General features: G+C 56.7%; 1 protein-coding gene across 12 annotated transcripts in view; it reads right to left on the bottom strand.

The window, feature by feature from the left end:
- Positions 1-717: 717 nt before the first annotated feature.
- PDXK (pyridoxal kinase) overlaps positions 718-18,539 on the bottom strand; it is a 43,171-nt gene continuing 25,349 nt past the window's right edge. For all 12 annotated transcript variants that reach the window (XM_047441005.1, NM_003681.5, XM_005261195.3 and 9 more), the window contains 7 exons: positions 16,892-16,938; positions 13,937-14,022; positions 12,472-12,517; positions 10,388-10,499; positions 9,298-9,434; positions 7,253-7,319; positions 718-7,066 (listed from right to left, as the gene is read on the bottom strand). In XM_047441005.1, the coding sequence (XP_047296961.1) occupies positions 6,954-7,066; positions 7,253-7,319; positions 9,298-9,434; positions 10,388-10,499; positions 12,472-12,517; positions 13,937-14,022; positions 16,892-16,938 (608 nt within the window). In that variant the 3' untranslated portion in view covers positions 718-6,953. The remainder of the gene's footprint in view (positions 7,067-7,252; positions 7,320-9,297; positions 9,435-10,387; positions 10,500-12,471; positions 12,518-13,936; positions 14,023-16,891; positions 16,939-18,539) is intronic.

Here is an 18,539-nt window from a genome sequence, read left to right as displayed (position 1 = left end):
CCACTGCAGGGGACAGGAGCACTGCAGGCAGCAGTGTGCTAGACGCGGAGCAAATCCCATAAACGAGGCAGCAGACACCCTGCCCCGGCCGCCCCGTGCCCTCCCCTGTGTGCTCTGTGGTCTGGGGTCTGTGGCTCCTGGTGTTCTCCATGGGGAGGGGCGTCCAGAGGGGGTCCTCATTGGGGAGGGGCTGGTTCTGCAGCCCCTGGTTCCGCCTTCTCCTTGTTCTTGGCACACAGCAACCAGCCTGGCATTGCTGGAGATGGTCTGTGGGTTTATCGCACAGGTGCACATGAGTCAGGGAACACGAGATCTGCCCAGCCAGAGGCACTACAACGTCACCACCCAGGTGTGAAGGAGCCAGGTGGATCCCAGGAGGAGCAGACACCCTTGGCCAACACCCAGAGCTGGGCCTCAGAATTGCACAGGGAGGCCTCCTATCCCTGAGGGCTCTGCCCTGGGAAGTCCTGCAGGAAGCCCATGCCGGGGCACCCAGGCCAGCCCCCAAGGCAGAAAACAGAGTGCAGGATGGGAGGGGGCCTGGGCCCGGCAGGCAGGGGCAAGGCATGCTCTTTCCTCCAAAGGGGAGGTTTTTAGGGAGTCAGCTGCCACCATTTCCAGCAGCAATCCCTAGCGTGGCTGGCAGGGTACTGGGTGTTCAGCCAATCACAGGTAGGGAGCTCCTGGGATGGGAAGGAACCATCATGCCTCAACACGACCGCCATGAAAATATTTATTTGTGGATATCATACAAGTCAACAGGACCAGCACGAAACAGATGCAGCCTACACAGTGCTGTAGGACCGAGGCTCACAAACATCCACATGGCACAAGCAGGGCCGGCCACTCCAGGCAAACGAAGCCACCCCCGAACCTTGCAGAGGCCGCACTCCCTCAGCAGGGGGACCACGGAGGCGACAGGTGCTTTGATGCCTCCGAAGAGCTGAGCTCCATTCCACGGAGGGAGCGGGCTGCGCCGCCGTCCTCCCATTGGTCCAGTTTTGCAATCACTAGATGAAGCTCCGGTTAAAGTTCTAAATCAGGAATGACGCAGCCATGAAGTTAAAGGCATCCAGAAGGTCACCACACACCTGGCACCCTCCAAGGGCCCACGCGGAGCCAGCTGAGGACTCACGTCCATGCTCCAGAACGTCAGCACCTCTGCCTCCCATCACCAAGAAGGGGCTTCAGACACCTCATGGGGACCTATGACGGCTCGAGCTTGACACAGGTTCTCCCAGCTGCTCGACACGCTGTGGGATGTACTGGAAGGGTCTTCCAGGCCTGCTGAGGCCTCTTTTTGTCCCACCAGCCCTGCACCCACCCTCCTCCTGCCAGGGGCTGGGTCTTGGGTTAGAAAGTCACTCGAGGGCTTCAGAGCCGCTGACCCAGCTTGCAGCTCAAAATGAGGACAAAGGCGCTTCCATCCACCTTCACGGAGATGCTGGCTTCGCAGGCCGGTGGGCGAGGCGAGGTCCATAGTTTTACTTAGGACAGGTTTCCCAGGCAGTACCCAGGTCGTGTGGGGGATCCCCAAGCAGAAGCTTAGGACGGCATTCTCCCCTCTCTGTTCCCACCCACCTATCCGCCAGACACTGGGCTTGCCCTTGCTGTCCGTCCCAGCACTGACGGGCAGGACAGAGATGCATGGGGTGAGTGGCCCTGTGGCACTGGAAGGCATATCCCACCAGAAATGGGTTTCCTGTTGGACAAAGACCAGAAATGGCCCCGCAGTATACTGGTGGATGGGAAGAAAGGAGAGGCTGGCATTTGGGGGTGCTGTTCCCACCACAGCCTTGAAGCTGGGGCCCCCCATCAAAGCTTGTCCCAGGCAAGGGTCAGAGATGGAAGGGGACATCTCTTGCTCTGGGACAGGGTCCTGCTTGGCTCAGACAGTGGGAAAACTAAAAACACCTGTTTATTCTGCCAGAATCGAAAGAAAAATTCCAGGAAGAACTTCTTACTAATATACATTTTTAAGATATTGACCAGTCATCTAAACTTACTCATTAAACTGTTTTAAACAAATGAACACACCGTGTTGCAATGAAAGGCAGGAACGTGGTTTTAGACGCCGATTGAAAACCAGTGTCTTTGTGCACTGAGAACAGGAAACATTCTGCTCTGAGAACAAACTGCAGAGTCGACAGGAGACACACATGCGACAGAAAGCCCCCAGCAGGAGAGACCGTGCACCCTGGTGGGTGATGGGATGCCCGGGCAGTGGCTTGGACACAGCTGTCACGCCACGATGCCTGCTGGGTCCTGCAGGGACAGGGGACACAGGCCACACACAGAGCCCAGCCACGCACTGTGGAGCGTGGCACAGGCCACACAAACTGGCTCCTACCACCTAACAGAGACGAGTCGCACACTGAAAAAAGTCCCCTAGAAGGATGGCTCACGTCCATCCTACCGGGGGGGATGGACGCAGGGACCTGGCCCTGGCTCTGGTCTGGCGGCAACCCCTGCTGGCAGAGGCAGGAGGTGTGCGGCTGGAGTCAGAAACTGAGGTGCTGTCTATAAAAATTCCAAGATTCCGCCGGGTGCACTGGCTCATGCCTGTAATCCCAGCACTCTGGGAGGCCGAGGCGGGCAGATCACTTGAGGTCAGGAGTTTGAGACCAGCTTGGCCAACATGGTGAAACCCCATCTCTACTAAAAATACAAAAATCAGCTGAGCGTGGTGGCGCATGCCTGTAATCCCAGCTACTTGGGAGGCTGGGGCAGGAGAACCACTTGAACCCAGGAAGCGGAGTTTGCAGTGAGCCGAGATCACACCACTGCACGCCAGCCTGGGTGTCAGAGCGAGACTTCACCTCAAAAAAAAAAAAACAAAAAAAAACAAAAAATCCAAGATTCCCACCTCCTTCCACCTGCAGATGGCCAGCACCTGCACCTGCCAGGCAGGAACACACGACAGGCCCAGCTCTGCCCAGGGCTACAGGGCCATACAGGCTCAGGTATCCTCCCCTGTGCTGGGAGTCCGGAGTGGGGACGGTGTCCACCCAGACCCGCCAGGCCACGCTCCAGGCTTCCCTGGCTTAGGGCTGACAAGACTTCCGGGCAGTGGACTTGGCCTCCCACAGCCACCCTCCCCAGGGCCTGGGGTCCTTCTGGGAGCCCCCTCGGCCCTGGTGATCAGCATCCATCTGAGTGCTCGGTGGACGGACACGGGAGCCGCCTCTCCAGCGAGTCTCAGCGGAAGCCGCTGGCCTGGCAGTGAGAGGCGGCGTGGAAGGAAAAGGCTCAGCAGGCACATCCCTCCGGCGGGCAGAGTGGCATCGGGGGGCCACACAGCTCTCACCTGGACTCAGAAAGCCAGGTCCAAAGTTCTCGTTTCCCTGTCTGCACATAACCTGCTCTGCTCACTCACAAACTCCAGTTCCCCTGCTCTGGGCCCAGGCAGGCGATCCACAGGGAGGGGTGTGTGAAGGAGGCCCATGAGACCAGGCAGGCGGCAGGGGAGAGAGGGAGAGACTCCTGGCTACCCGGGCAGCAGAGTACAGTCCAGCCACACAGTGGGGACACCTCTGATCTCCATAAACATGGACACTGCTGCCCCGACACAGGTGGCCCCATCGGAGGGCAGGAAGGACAAGGAAAAGAGCTCCAGCTGCCAGAACACTCTCAACCTCCTCTCTTTGCATAGTTAAACTAAAGAGAGAATGAGGCTGGAGCCAGGGAAGGTGGACGGGCAGAGTGGGGAGCTGCTCGGGGCCCCGCAATCTGAGGGCCATCTATACCACCTTCCCTGGCCAGTGCCCTCCCAGGGCCTTGCACCGTGCACCTACTGTGGGCTCTGCCTTCTCTGACACCAGGCACGAGAGGCCTGAGCTCAACCACATAGCTTTTATTGTTTTACCTCGGGTAGCGGTGGGGACTGTTACCCCAGGGGCTTTGGCCTCTTACCTGGTGCAGGCAACTCTCTTGCCTGGTGATCTCAAGATGGAGACATCCCTCACTTACTCATCAGCGTGGCTAAGCCAAGCCAGCCTCCGTTCACGGTAAGACCAAACGTTTCAAAACTGGCTCTAACGAGCTTAAGAACAGGACATTAAACAAAGCATCATGCTGCAACTGTTTACATGTATTGGAAAAATAACAGATGCACATAATAACCTTGGCAGGACTAGGCAACAATTTAAAATCGATTTTAAAAAGGATCCTATTGTGGAATTCATCCTTACGGTCTACAGGGAGAAGTTTGAAAAACTGGATTAAGAAAGTATTAAACTTCTGTACCCTGACAATAAGCAGGCGATGTTGGACCAGTATAGCTGTCACCTTAAAATAAATTCTTCTCATTATTTTGCATGTTATTAACTATGGAAAGTGAAAACAAAGATCAATTCTAATCTGGATCCAAGCCATAGGGAAACCCACTGCCAATGCCCAAGGTTACCTTCCTGGATGAGAAACTGAAACTGAAGGCCACCAGGGGCCTCTGCCGAAGTCAGGAGAGACGAACATGCCCGGGTGGAAACGGGCCGTGGACAGGGCAGGCTCCAGCTGCTCCGTGGTTTGACAGCAGGCAGTCTGGGGAGGGGATGCCGGACTCTGCCCGTAGAGGCTGACAATTTCCACAAAAGCCCTGCACCCACAAAGGCACCATCTGCTCTCAGAAACCCCCGATTTCTTTCTCCTTAGTCGCAGCCCAGGCCTCTCCTGGTTCGGCTGATACAGCCAAAGAAAACAGAAGAGAAGTTTCAGATTGCGCCAGAGAGCTCAGGATTTACGGGAGGCGCCTGCAGGGACAGCCATTCTCCTAATTCTTGCTTAATACAGGGAAGTCCAAGAACTAAAGCTGATGTGGGGACTCAGCCTCTGAAACGAGCTCAAAGAACCAAGAATCAAAGCTTGCTCGCCAGGGCACACCGCCCGTAACACCCACTGCAGGGGCAGAAGGAGTCCCACACCTGACACTGCGTTCTCATGCTGGGTTTTTCACCAGCTCACAGGACAGAGAGACATTTAGGTTCTTTCCCCCATGCTATACGTGCTCTTGGTGTTTAAAAAAAAAAAAAAAAGAAAAAGAAAAGCTTTCCTGGTGGCTGGCAATGTGGCACACGCCCCAGTCTCCACTTGGCAGTGAGGGTATTTCCAGTTAAACGCCCTACAGAGGGCCAGGTGGTTCTGGCAGATCCCTGCACTCACATACTGGGGAGGCCGCCTCCCCGCCAGGCTCCGGACACAGCCATCCTCCTTCCTGCTGGTGTGGCGGCGCCCTGTAGGGACCAGTGGCTCTGGGCTGCAACGGGCCTGCCACCCGTGTCCTCGGAGCCAGGAAACATGGCTGCGAAACCCGTGTCTGACTCACTGGCTGAGGTGGGGGAGCCAGGCGCCCTGATGCACGCTCGTGAAGACATTCAGAACGAACAGAGTGGGAGAGTGGGGGAGGGGGTGGGGGTTCCATATAAACCTGCATCTTTTCGCTTCAGGGCATTTTTCAACAAAGAACGCACTCCTGGCAAGCGAGTCTTTCTAGAAGACACTGGAATGGCCTCACAGGAGGGTATGGGCTCCAGGAGGGGCCCGTCCGTGGGGAAGGTAGCGGGGTGGGGGTACCCCTTGGAGAGTCCGCTTCTTGGGGGCCCCATGGGCCCCCACTTCCTGCATCTCCCTATTTCTCTCCAGCCGTGGGTTCCCTGGAGACACAAACCTCTGCACACCCCAGAGCTGGGATGCAGGGCTGCAGGGGTGTGGCTGAAATCAAGGCAGGCCAGGGACAGGCACTGCCGCCTATAGCTATACCTGGGGGGACCCCAAACTCTGGGCAAAGTGGGGCCAGGGAGGTCACTGCTGAGCAGAGGATGATAGGACTTGTCAGAGCTGGTGCTGTGGCCTCTGCCGTCACCCCAGCCTGCCCAAGGGCCTGGGAGCTGCCCGCCCCCACCGTGCCCCACACCCACCTTGGAAGATTGGCAGCTTCCAGGGTGGCCTCTTGCCCCTGGGCATTTGGTGGGGCACAGAACTGAGGTCAGGGGACAAGGGTTAAATGTGCCAGCAGGGGCAGGGGGCAGGCACCCCTCTGTCCTGTCTACAAATGCTGTGGCTCAATGTGCTGTCACGGGCAGCACGTGGCAAACGCGCAGTGCTCAGCCTGCTGCACCACGGATGAGGGGAGCTTCCACAAGGAACCTGACGGGGTGGTTCTCTGGAGCTTCAAAGCTGCTCTTGGCCCAGCACAGACCTTACTGCGTTAGCATCTTCCTCAAGTCACTCGGCGGATTCCTGGAAGATGCCGATGGGTTACAAGAGGTCCCGCGGGTAGCTGAGAGGTCTGCAGACCGACTTGAATTTGCTGGGGCCTGGGAAGGTCCCTGATGCTGCACCGTGTGTCTCCAAGCAAGCTCACATCAACCCTCCCATACGGTGAAACAACAGCCTAAGATCTGAAATCCCCAGGGACTAAACGAGCAGCAAAGTAAGAACCAAAAGTTCGAATGCGGGAACAAAGAGGCTATGGTCAGAATGACAGTAAAGATACTTGGCAGAATTCTTCCTGACCCCAACCGTTACCACCCGACTCCTTCTCAGAGATGCAAAGACAGAGGCCACCCAGGCCCAGCCCAGCGCGACACGGCCTCTGTACGGTAGTGGCAGCCAGGGCCCACTCGAGGCTCCACACGCAGCAGGCTCGGCCTCACCCACTCACCCTCCCACAGGGAACACCCCCGAGATGGCAAACAGGGGCCCGTCTTCCCGGAGGCCCAGGAGCCTTGTGGGGAAGGGAGCCGGGTTTTCAGATCACAAATTTCTGTGACCACTTTGTTATTTTTCACAAAGCACGACTGGCACGTTTCACAATGAAGACCAGCAGATGCCGGACACTCATGAAAGAAAAAAATATCAAGTTTCGGTCATGGCTCTAAGGCAGACGTTACATGTTTTCACAGGGACAAACACGGAGACACCAACGCGCTGCGTGTCACGGGCAAGCGGCGGGGCCCTCACAGCACCGTGGCCTGGACGACGATCTCTGGGTCCTCGATGTCCCTTTTGCTCTGCACCATCCGCAGCTCCAGCTGCATGGGGCTGGGCCTCACTCCTTCCCCGGCCTGGGCTGCGGGGCAGGCAGAGAGCACTGAGTTCCCATCTCAGAGGGGCTCCCGCTGTTGCCCCCACTCCCAGAGGTGAGGTCAGCAGGAGACACCGATCACACCTTCAAAACCAGCACGTGCCAGCTCTTCTCTCCCACCCACTTCGGGAGCCAGGAGCCCACGCAGCCCATGCAGCCCGGCCGCCGTACCTTTTGCACACTGGATGGTCCTCTGCAGAACGTGGTGCAAGGTAGACACGGTCTTCTCACAGGCCACCTGCAGGGAGGACAGACTTGCTGTGCCCCTGGCCCACTCACAACACCCGACGTGCCCACTGCTGCCAGGAGGGGATTTCCAGGGAACACAAGGGCCGTCCTGCTCTCCGAGCCACCGGGGAGCCGGCTCCGCCAATGCACGTGCTGAACCCTGGAGGACAGGCTGCGGACTGCCCACCACGGAGAGCCCGGAGGGCTGAGCAGATGCCCGGTCCCAGCTACCTGCTCTGGACAAGAGATGGCTCACAGAAGGGACAGCCTCGTGACCTGCATAGAACTTGGCAGGCAGCAGGAGCTTGGTAGGAGTTCCCAGAATTAACTCCTTATAACGAGTCTACAAGGGGAAGTGCTCCTGCCGAAAGCCCAGCCAATCATCACTCAGTGATGCCTCAGAGTCAGCCAATCATCACTCAGTGATGCCTCAGAGTCAGCCAATCATCACTCAGTGATGCCTCAGAGTCAGCCAATCATCACTCAGTGATGCCTCAGAGTCAGCCAATCATCACTCAGTGATGCCTCAGAGTCAAAGGTGCTGGGGAAGCACGGGGAACTCGCTCCCCGACTCCACAACCCTGGGCTGGCCAAACCCAGAATGTGACCTTGGGCGGCCTGGCAGTGAGGCCTCCTCGGGGTGCCAGCTGGCACTTTTCCACTGCCCTGCACCACCAATTAAACACGGCAGGCTTACTTAATGGCCCTGTTTAATTGCCCTTGAGGGGCCAGAAGGGATGGAATGAGGGGGCTGTGCATTCCAGCTCAGGGTGTGCAGAGGGCTAGTCCCATGGGAGGCAAAGGGCCTCAGTCCACCTCTTCCATTTTACACACCAGGACACTCAGCTGAAACTGACTTGTTGGGGAGGAGGTGTACCCCGGGGGACACGTGGCCCCTTAAGCGGCCCGGCAAAGACAGCACAGGGAGAGCCACCTGCAGGTCCTGACCTCTGAACTCTTCCTTCCCCAGCGCACCCAATAGTGACAGAGGTGTCCTGTCTTCCTCCTGTCACTCCCATGGCACCCCTGCCCTGCCCCACATTCCAAAGGGATGGCAGGCCCCTCCCTCCCACCTGAACCCACTGCGGACGCAGTGGGAAGTACCCAGGGGAGTTTTGGGGGCTGAGCCCAGGGGCTGGGGACCACCTCAGAGCACAGCACGGCTCTGGACGGTGTTGTAAGAAGACACACTCCAGGCGTCCTCGGACTCAGCTGACAAAACCACCTGCCGAGGCCACAAGCAACTCTGCTGCATGCAGCACGGGAGGTCACGGATCTGAGCGCCACAGTTGCAACAAAACTCCTCTGTCCCCGCTGAGCTGTGTGCTTACCCATGGGACACACGAGAAAGGCTCACGAGACCCCACATCCCAACCTGCCATGTCAGTTGCCCAACAGTCCCACTCCCCCCACTGTCTAAGCAAAGCCACCCGATCTCTACAAACTTGAAAAGCAGGCAGACATCCAGACAAAACGCCCAGAAAGACGGCTCTCCACACCTGCCTGGACCCCTGTCCTCAGCCTCCCACCTACTGTCCCCGAAGGGCGGCTCCGGCCTTTCCGTCCCTCAGGTCACTGCCGTGGTCACACTGTGGGAAATGCTGCAGGGTGCCACTCCTCTGCAGCAGCCCCCAAGTCACCAAGGACACAACAGCTCCATGCATCCCACAGCCCTGCGCCAACGCCAAGCGGGTGGCATCTGAATCCTGGTGGGACCCCCATGGGTCTGTTCTGAAACATCTGTCACCCAAGCCCTCACAGACTCTGATCATCCCTAGGTCCCAAATAAGGGGAGATGGGAGGCGATGTGAGAGTGACAGGCGCAACTCCTGTCATGGCCTGGCCACTGCCCTCCCCCACAACTGGGGCCAGCACTCAGGGCCATGCCCTGTCAGCTCAGCAGGGACCCCCCACCAGGACTCTCATATCCTGCTCCCCATGAGGTGCCGTGGGAGTGGGCGAGGAGGGGAGCGGTGCGTGTGGCTGACCTTGAGGTTATTGGGGTGCTTGTGTGTCCACGCCAGGAGCATGGCAGCAAACAGGTCCCCAGTGCCCACAAAGACGGCGTCCACTTTGCGAATGTCCATCCGGATGCGTTCCATCACCACGGAGCCAGCGGGATTCCCTAGGGGGAGAAGATGGGCAAGGTCACTGAGATCTGCCGCTCCTCTGCCAGGGCCAGCCTCCCATCCCTGATCCTCCTGGGCACGGCGGCAGGGAGGGTCACAGGGGCAGAGCACAAGGTGGCCTTGCTCAGGACGTGGGGGCTCAGGGCATGCATGGGGTCCCCATCACCGCAGCAAGGGAAAGGGAAAGACTGCACCCTCAGAGGGCCACACGGTCAGGCCGCCTCGGGGGTCGCTGTGAAACTCCCGAGAGTAACGACGGCGTGAAGAACTAGGATGTACCTGGACGCATCCGAGTGTGTGTGCATGTGTGTGCGTGTGCCCACGTGTATGCATGTGTGTCCGTGTGTATGCATGTGTCCGTGTGCATGTATGCCTGTGTGTGCCCGTGTGTATGTGTGCATGTATGCCTATGTGTGCCCATGTCCACGTGTGTGCCCGTATGTGCATTTGTGCCCAAGTGTATGTGCATTTGTGCCTATGTGTGTGCCTGCAAGGCTCCCATGTCCAAACATAGAGCGGCAAGGAGGTCACAGCTGTTCTTTTGGGCCCATGGGTATGAACCCGCGGCCACTAGCTTAGTGCATGGCCCCAGCCTTCTGCGTCATTTTCACACTGTTCAGAGAAAATCAACCAGGTGGTGTCTGTGTAAACAATCAGCACAGCCGGGTGGACGCGTCCTCCCAGTGAACTCAGGGACCCCGCCTGGCTCTGAGGGAGGCCTATGATGCTGGGTCCGTGGAAGCCAGTTCCAGCCAGGCCATTCATCGTGACCTGTGAGGTCTTGGGAATCCCACCTGATCCCTGAGAGTCTGTAAAATGGGGGTGTCATCCCGGTGCTGGATAAGGCTTAAATTTCATGCTATTGAACCCAAAACATTCTTGCAGCCCCAAAGAACACCTTCCTCTGGGAAGAGCAGAGGCGGCCACGGTGCACGATGGGGGCACTTACTCCTCCTCTGACTCCCCAGCACAATCAGGTAGTTGCTGCCCTGCGGGGAGGGCAGGTCGGAGCTGGTGATGACCACGGTGTCGGGGCCCATAGAGTGCAGCATGTCCATCACCTAGCAGTGGCACAGGGAGCGTCAGCCACGGCCGGTCACATGTCAGCCACGGCTGGTCACACCCCACTCCCCGATCCATCACCTGGCAGTGGCACGGGGAGCATCAGCCACGGCCGGTCACACCCCACTCCCCCAGAGCCCGTTCCCAATGGCGGCACTCCCGGAGGGAAGACAGCCACCTGGTCAGCCACCATCCCCCCACAAACTGTCAGCCCAAACCGTGTGGCTCCCCACAGGTGACTGGCGAGGGCCTCCCCCTTGGGGGGTGGACAGATGGGTGCCTGTCCTGCAGCGAGGAGGAGCTGGCCCCTCTGTACGTTGGCTTTTCTGTAACTCTCGTAGAAACTGTCTCCACCGCACGGTTGCCTCAGATCGGGCAGCACGCGCGCGCACACACACACACACACACACACACATGTGCTGCATCGCCACCCAGCACGTGTCCATAGCAGAATCTGGACCCTGCTCCAGGGTCAGCTGACTCTGCAGTCCCAGGACCCAATACCAGGTCAGCGAAAGGCCTCCGAGTGGGAGGAGTGGCTGCTGCAGTGGCCCATTCTCAGGACCAGGCTCCTGGGTTGTGAAGACAAAATTCAGGGCAGCGCCAGGCTGCTTGGGAACGCAGCCCAAAGCACATGGACTCCTGCTGCAGTCTGACAGTGTCTGCTCTAAAATGCATGTTGAAACATGGCACCCATGTGGCAATATTCAGAAGGGGTCCTCTGGGGCATGATTAAGTCATGAGGGCTCCCCTTTCTCTGTGCCTGATGAGGGCTGGAGGGAGCAGCATGGGCCCCTCGAGCCCCCTGCCATCCACACATGAGGATGCAGCAACAAGGTGCAGTCCGGGTAGCAAAGTAGCCCCCGCCAGACCCTGAGCCTGCCAGTGCCTTGACCTTGGACTTCCCAGCCTCCAGAACTGTGGGGAACAAAGTTCTGTTTTGTTTTGTTTTGTTTTGTTTTTTGAGATGGAGTCTCGCTCACTCTGTTGCCCAGGCTGGAGTGCAGTGGTGCAATCTCAGCTCACTGCAACCTCCGCCTCCTGGCTTCAAGCGATTCTCCTGCCTCAGCCTCCCAACTAGCCGGGATTATAGGCGTGCACCACCATGCCCAGCTAATTTTTGTATTTTTAGTAGAGATGGGGTTTTACCATGTTGGCCAGGCTGGTCTCGAACTCCTGACCTCAAGTGATCTGACCACCTCAGTCTCCCAAAGTGCTGGGATTACAGGCGTGAGCCACTGCATCCGGCCAAAAGTTCTGTTTTTTATAAATCATCCAGTCTCAGGCATTTTGTCACAGCAGCCCCAACAGACTAAGATGACTCAACCAAGGTTCAATGCTAGCAAGACACGCACGGTCTCCAAGTCCCGGAGAAAAAGGACTTTGAAGAAACTGCACCTTGGGCTGCTGCATCTGCTCCTGTGTCCAGCCTCCAGCCTGCCCTTCCCAACAGCTGGCCCTGCAAATCCCAAACATGCCCAGGAGCCCCCACACAGCTCAAGCCACCGCCTTACAATAGCTCTTCACACACATGTGCACACACACACACACACATGCACACACATGTGCAAACACGTGCACACATACGCACACACATGCACACATGCGTGCACACCCATGCCCACACGCCCATGGACACACATGCACACAGACGCACATGCACATGTGCACACACACACGTGCACACATGCACACATGGGTGCGCGCACACACGCACACATCCACACACACACCCACACACAATACGCGCGCACACACGCACACATGCACACACACACACACATGCACAAACATGTCCACACATGTACACACACACATATATCCTGCTGATCTCTGGAGGCCCCGACTGGTACAGACTGTTCAGTCACTGCTGGGGAGAAATGACACAGTGGTGCCACTCAGGCAGCCTGTCTCCCGTCCCCACCGTGAGCGGCACATGTGCCCCGCACAGGCCCCAGAGGGCCTCCTTACCCGCAAGGCTTCCTCCTGGCTGTGGATCTTCCGGCCACTCAGTAACCTGGAAGACAGGCGGGGACAGGCGGGTGGGGACAGGTGAGCCTCTCCTCTCCGGGTTGTGTGTTGACATTCCCCAAACCGCAGCGGCTCTGGAAATCCCCATCCCCACAGGCAGCTAACTCTTCGTCCACTGGCCACCCTGGGCCGGGGCCCCTGCAACATGTGGGGTTTGGTTCTAAAGGGGACCCTCACATTACAGGAGTCACGTAAGGCCCAATCATGGCTGCTGTTTATACGTAACCGTGGTGATGGACAGCAGCCACGGCCCCCACTTAAGGCCCATGCCACAGCGCAGGGTCTCAGCATGGGTGACTGACATCCATACAAAGTCAAAGAGCCGCTAGCGATTAATGCACGCATGGGCCACCCATGGCTCAGGGGCCTCGAGTGAGATGCCACCCCCAAGTTTGGACAGGCCCAGGTCAGGGATCCCAGGCCTCCAAGAGTCCAGGCGCCCCCACCCCTGCGTGAATGGGGGGGCTCAAGACCTGGCTCAGGGCCAGGTAGAGCTAAGCTGTGACAGGCACCAGCCCCCTCCGCGGGCAGCTCCACTCTTCATGGCACTGGGGCGCTGGTGGCTTCCCCTGGTGTGTGATTCTTCAGCTGGGGGGAGCCATGCACCCAAAGAAAGACCTTTTCAAACTCGGTATCAGACAGCCAAGCCCAACACACTCCTCTTCCCCTCACAGGGCGGCAGGTGACCTGGCCGCCTGTGCTGCCCCCACCCTCCCTCTGCTGTGGTGGCCCCGACAAGCCCACAGCTCCCCAGGTCGCCCCTCCTCTTCCTCTCCCAGGGGCCCTGCCGCTCAGGAAGGCACAGGGGCAGCAAAACCATCCCCATCACCCATGGCTGCCACCACCAAAGAGAAGACGTGAGCCTGGGACCCAGGTGGGCAGGGGCTTCTCCAACCCAGGCGCCCCCACCACATCCTGCTCCAGTATCAAGGGGCACTCGCCCCATGGCAGGACCTTCCTGAGAACCACTTCGTAAGCTAAACAGGCAGCCCGAAGGCAGAGTGGAGACCCTTCTGGCATGTTCTCTGCAGCTCTCCCTGGGGAAAGACTGGTAGCATTTGCCATTTAAAATAACTTACTCTGCTGGGCACGATGACTCATGCCTGTAATCCCAGCACTTTGGAAGACTGAGATGGGTGGATCACCTGAGGTCAGGAGTTCAAGACCAGCCTGGCCAACATGGTGAAACCCCGTCACTACTAAAAATACAAAAATTAGCCGGGCGTGGTGGCTCACGCCTGTCATCCCAGCTACTCGGGAGGCTGAGGCAGGAGAATTGCTTGAACCCCGGAGACAGAGGTTGCAGTGAGCTGTGATCGTGCCACTGCACTCCAGCCTGGGTGACAAGAGCGAGACCCATCTTGAAAAATAAATAAATAAAGTAAAATAAAATAAAATGACTTACTCGGCCTCAAACTGGTTGGGCGTGATAATGTCTGCAAGCGGCACCACTTTTTCTTTGTAGACGGGAAGGAGGTCCTCCGGGACGTACTGGCCAACAAAGGAGACAGGAGGAGAGGCTGAGTCACCGTGAGGGAAGCACGCCAGGGGGCGCGGAGGGAAGCCCACCACGGAGTGCTCCCCCAAAAGCCCCCTGAAGTCCAGGCTCAGGGGCCAGGCCCCCCGACTGTAGCGATAAGTTGTTCCCACCACGGGGACAGCGTGTGGCCGAGGCACACTAGAGTGGGGAACCCTAAGTGCTCCGAGGGGCCGAGGGAGGACTCAGGGCGCACAGTGGGTCCCCACAGAGTGTCTGGGAGGAGAAGGAGGTGAAGGAGAGAGGGAGGGAGGGAGGAGGGAGACGAGGAAAGGGAAACCCCACAGGTGGATGGAGCAGCCCTGGTCATCTGGTGAGGGCTTGGGGGTGCTGGCCATGTCCATCTGCGACTGGGAGCCCAACCCGCCAGCTCTTCCTGGCTGAGTCAATGCACCCTTCATCTAGTTTTTGTCTAAGTTGCCTGACAAACAATTCAACACTTTTTTGTTTTGTTTTGTTTTTTGAGACAGTTTCGCTCCTGTTGCCCAGGTTGGAGTGCAATGGCGTGGTCTTGGCTCACTGCGACCTCCACCTCCTGGGTTCAAGCGATTCTCCTGCCCCAGCCTCCCGAGCAGCTAGGATTACAGGCGCCTGCCCCCACGCCCGGCTAATTTTTTTTAGTAGAGACGGGGTTTCGCCATGTTGGCCAGGCTGGTCTCGAACTCCTGACCTCAGGTGGTCCACCCGCCTCAGCCTCCCAAAGTGCTGGAATTACAGGCGTGAGCCACTGTGCCAGGCAACACATGGTTTTCTTTAGCGATCAAATTTAAGCCGGAGGCAGTGCGAAGCTCTGGAAGAATTCTGTGGGCTTCATGGAACATTTCAGCAGCCCCTGCTGGCTGAGTGGCCTGAGTTTCCAATCCCTTCACTTCACTTTGCTCCCGGAAACCTCCCTTGGAGATCAGAGGCCCCACAGGAGGCATGTCTGCACCTGGTGCTCAGAGCACACAAAGTGGTCACACGCCGGCCGCTGCTCCAGACATGGCTTAGGAGGCACTAAGGATGGGTGGGTGGCACGTGGATGTCCCCGATCCCTGGACCAGGAAATCGAAGGAAAGCTCTTTAGAGCCCCATTTTGGGTAGGGAGGGCCAACACACCCCTTTAACCTCACGGAAAGGGGAGATACGGGGTGACCGCTCATCTGAGACAGGAGCTCGTGTTTAGGCCACTCTTGTTCAGGAAAACAAATGTGATCAAAATCGAGGGGCCAGATCCCGTAGCCGCACTGAACTGGACAGTGGCCCCAACTCTTCGTGATCCAAACGCAAGTGTCTGCCGAGGGTCAGCAGAGCCCACACCAGGGAGCACCATGAAGGGAAGGCAGGGAGCTGCAAGCTGGGGTCCTGCAGGCTGGGCGCAGGACAGGGAACCTTCCAGAGAACAAGCATGGGAGAAAGTGGACAGACAGACGCTGAGCACACCAGCCCGCCCCACCCAGTTAGATGCCCAGTGACAGATATCCTGACTTCAACCACTGACCCAGCGGGGCAGGGAGGGCACAGGCCCAGGCGTGCCCTGTGCCAGTGGAGAAGCCCGCTGTGCTCAGTGAATATACAGCAAGCAAACAGACACCCTAGACACAACGACAAAGAAGGCAGATACTGAAATCGCCTGGGCGCTGAATGGCTGAGTTAAAAACCCACAGGCAGGATCACCTTTGGGTTCCTTCCGCCTCTAAATTCTAGGCTTCTGGACTGGTCACAGTGGATTTGTTCTCCATCCACTTGATCCGACGTCCAGGTCTGTGGGCTGCAGCTGCTGCTGTTACTACACAGCTCATGGGTTAAGTGGTTTCTAGATTTTTCTTTTGTTTTTTGAGATGGGGTCTTGCTCTGTGGAGTGAGTGTAGCGGTGCGATCTCAGCTCACTGCAGCCTCCACCTCCTGGGCTCAAGTGATCCTCCCACCTCAGCCTCCCAAGTAGTTGGGACTATAGGTAGGTGCCACCACACCCAGCTCATTGTCTTGTATTTTGATTAGAGATGGCGGGGTTTTGCCATGTTGCCCAGGCTGGTCTTGAACTCCTGGGCTCAAGCCAGCCACCCGCTCTGGCCCCCGAAAGTGCTGGGATTACAGGCGTGAGCCACTGCACCCAGTCTGGTTTCTACATTTTTAAATGGTTAGGGGAAAAAAGCCAAAAAAAGAATGACACTTTGTGACACATGAAAATTATAGAAAATTCAAATTTCAGTGTCCACAAATGAAATTTTATTAGAAAATAGTCATCCATGGCTGGGCGTGGTGGCTCATGCCTGTAATCCTAGCACTTTGGGAGGCCAAGGCAGGTGGATCACTTGAGGCTAGGAGTTCGAGACCAGCCTGGACGACACAGTGAAATCGTATCTAGTAAAAATATACAAATTAGCTGGGAGTGGTGTTGTGCACCTGTAATTCCAGCTACTTGGGAGACTGAGGCATTAAGAATTGCCTGAGCCCAGGAGGCAGAGGTTGCAGTAAGCTGAGATCATGACACTGCACTCCAGCCTGGGTGACTGAGTGAGACTCTGTCTCAATAAGAAAAGAAAGAAAAGAAAAGAAGTCATCATGTTTGTACACCTCTTATCTGTGGCTGCTTCTGTGCTCTAATGAGAACAGCTGTGGCAAGGCTGTGCGGCCGGCAAAGGTGTCGATATTTATCTACCGTCAGGCACTTTACAGAAAATATGTCGGTTCCCTTTCTCCTTCCTAACAAGGTTTGTCTTTTTACCCCTGGACAGAGGAGTCCCACCGAGTTAGACACTTAGAGATGTGGGCCTGTCTTCTGGCTGGACAGGAATAGCTCCACTCACCACACTTTTAAATCACACACGTGAAACTACTCACCATCGAGCCTTCGCCGTCCCACTTGTCACCCAAGACTGGATCACACACTGCAGAGACACAAGGGCATCTTATCAGCAAAGGCTACAGCTGACGAGTAAGAAACCCTCCACATTTCTTTCTTCTTTTTTTAAGACAGGGTCTTGCTCTGTTGTCCAGGCTGGAGTGCAGTGGTGCAATCATGGTTCACTGCAACCTCGATCTTCCAGGCTCGGGCGATCCTCCTGCCTCACCCTCCCAAGTGGCTGAGACCACAGGCATGCAGCAGCACACCCAGCTAGCTTTTAAATGATTTGTACAGATGGGTTCTCACCATGTTGCCGAGGCTGGTTTTGAACTCCTAGGCTTAAGCGATCCTCTCACCTTGGCCTCCCAAAGTGCTCAGATCACAGGTGTGAGCAACCACATTTGGCTTTTTTCTTTTTTCTTGTTTTTTAAGCTGCCAAGTTGAAGTAGGTATCTTCCCTTTTTTAACTTTTTAATATAGTAAAAAATATATACCATAATCTTTGCCAGTGTAAGCATGTTTAAGCGTACAATTCAGGAGCATTCAGGACATTCTCACCGTGTATAACCACGACCACCATCCACCTCCAAAACTTCTCATCTTCCCAAACTGAAACTCTGTCCTCACTATACACTCACGCCCCACTCCCCCTGCCTTAGGCCCTGGTAACGTCTAGTCTGCTTTCTTTTTTTTTTTTTTTTTGAGATGGAGTCTCGCCCTGTCACCCAAGCTGGAGTGCAGTGGCGCAATCTTGGCTCACTGCAACCTCCGCCTCCCGGGTTCAAGTGATTCTCCTGCCTCAGCCTCCAAAGTAGCTGAGATTAGAGGTGTGCGCCACCAGGCCTGGCTAATTTTTGTATTTTTATTAGAGATGGGGTTTCACCATGTTGGCCAGGCTGATCTCGAACACCTGACTTCAGGTGATCCGCCCACCTCAGCCATCCAAAGTGCTGGGATTCCAGGCGTGAGCCACCACACCGAGCCTCCGTCTGCTTTCTACCGCGATGAACTGGCCTTTCCCAGCCGCGACGAGCCTTCGTCTGCTTTCTACCTCGATGAACTGGCCTTTCCTAGCTATTTCAGATAGCGGGATCGTGTAACAGTCTCCCTTTTTGGTGTCTGGCTACTTTCACTAAGCATCATGTCCTCAAGCGCCATCCACATTGCAGAGTGTGTCAGAATTTCCTTCCTTTTCCAGACTGAGTAATACTCCATTGTATGTACGGACACTTTGTTTGTCTATCACCCATCAACAGACACAGCCTGTTTCCACATTTGGTCACTGGGAACAACGCTGCTATAGACGTGGGAATACGCACATCCGCTTGAGTCTGTGTTCAGCTATTTCGGATACATGCGCAGGGCGGAATTGCTGGGTCACATGGTGATGGTGTTCCACTTGTTGGGGAACTACCAACGTGTTTTCCACAGTGGTTGCACCCTTTCATACTCCCAGCAGCTGTGCATGAGGGTTTCTGCATCCTCGCTCACACTTGCTATTTTCTGTGTCTTTGATGACAGTCATCCTAATTGCTGTGAGGTGCTATTCATCACTGTTTGTCACCCAAGCAGGTGCAGCAGCTCCCTTCCTCTTCCTGGCCTCGAGCACACACAATCCGGGCCTCACACGTCTGTACCGACAAG

The sequence above is a fragment of the Homo sapiens genome, chromosome 21 (genome assembly GCF_000001405.40).
Source record: "Homo sapiens chromosome 21, GRCh38.p14 Primary Assembly".
NCBI classification, from domain to species: Eukaryota; Metazoa; Chordata; class Mammalia; order Primates; family Hominidae; genus Homo; species Homo sapiens.
This window is presented reverse-complemented; position numbering and strand designations above follow the sequence as displayed.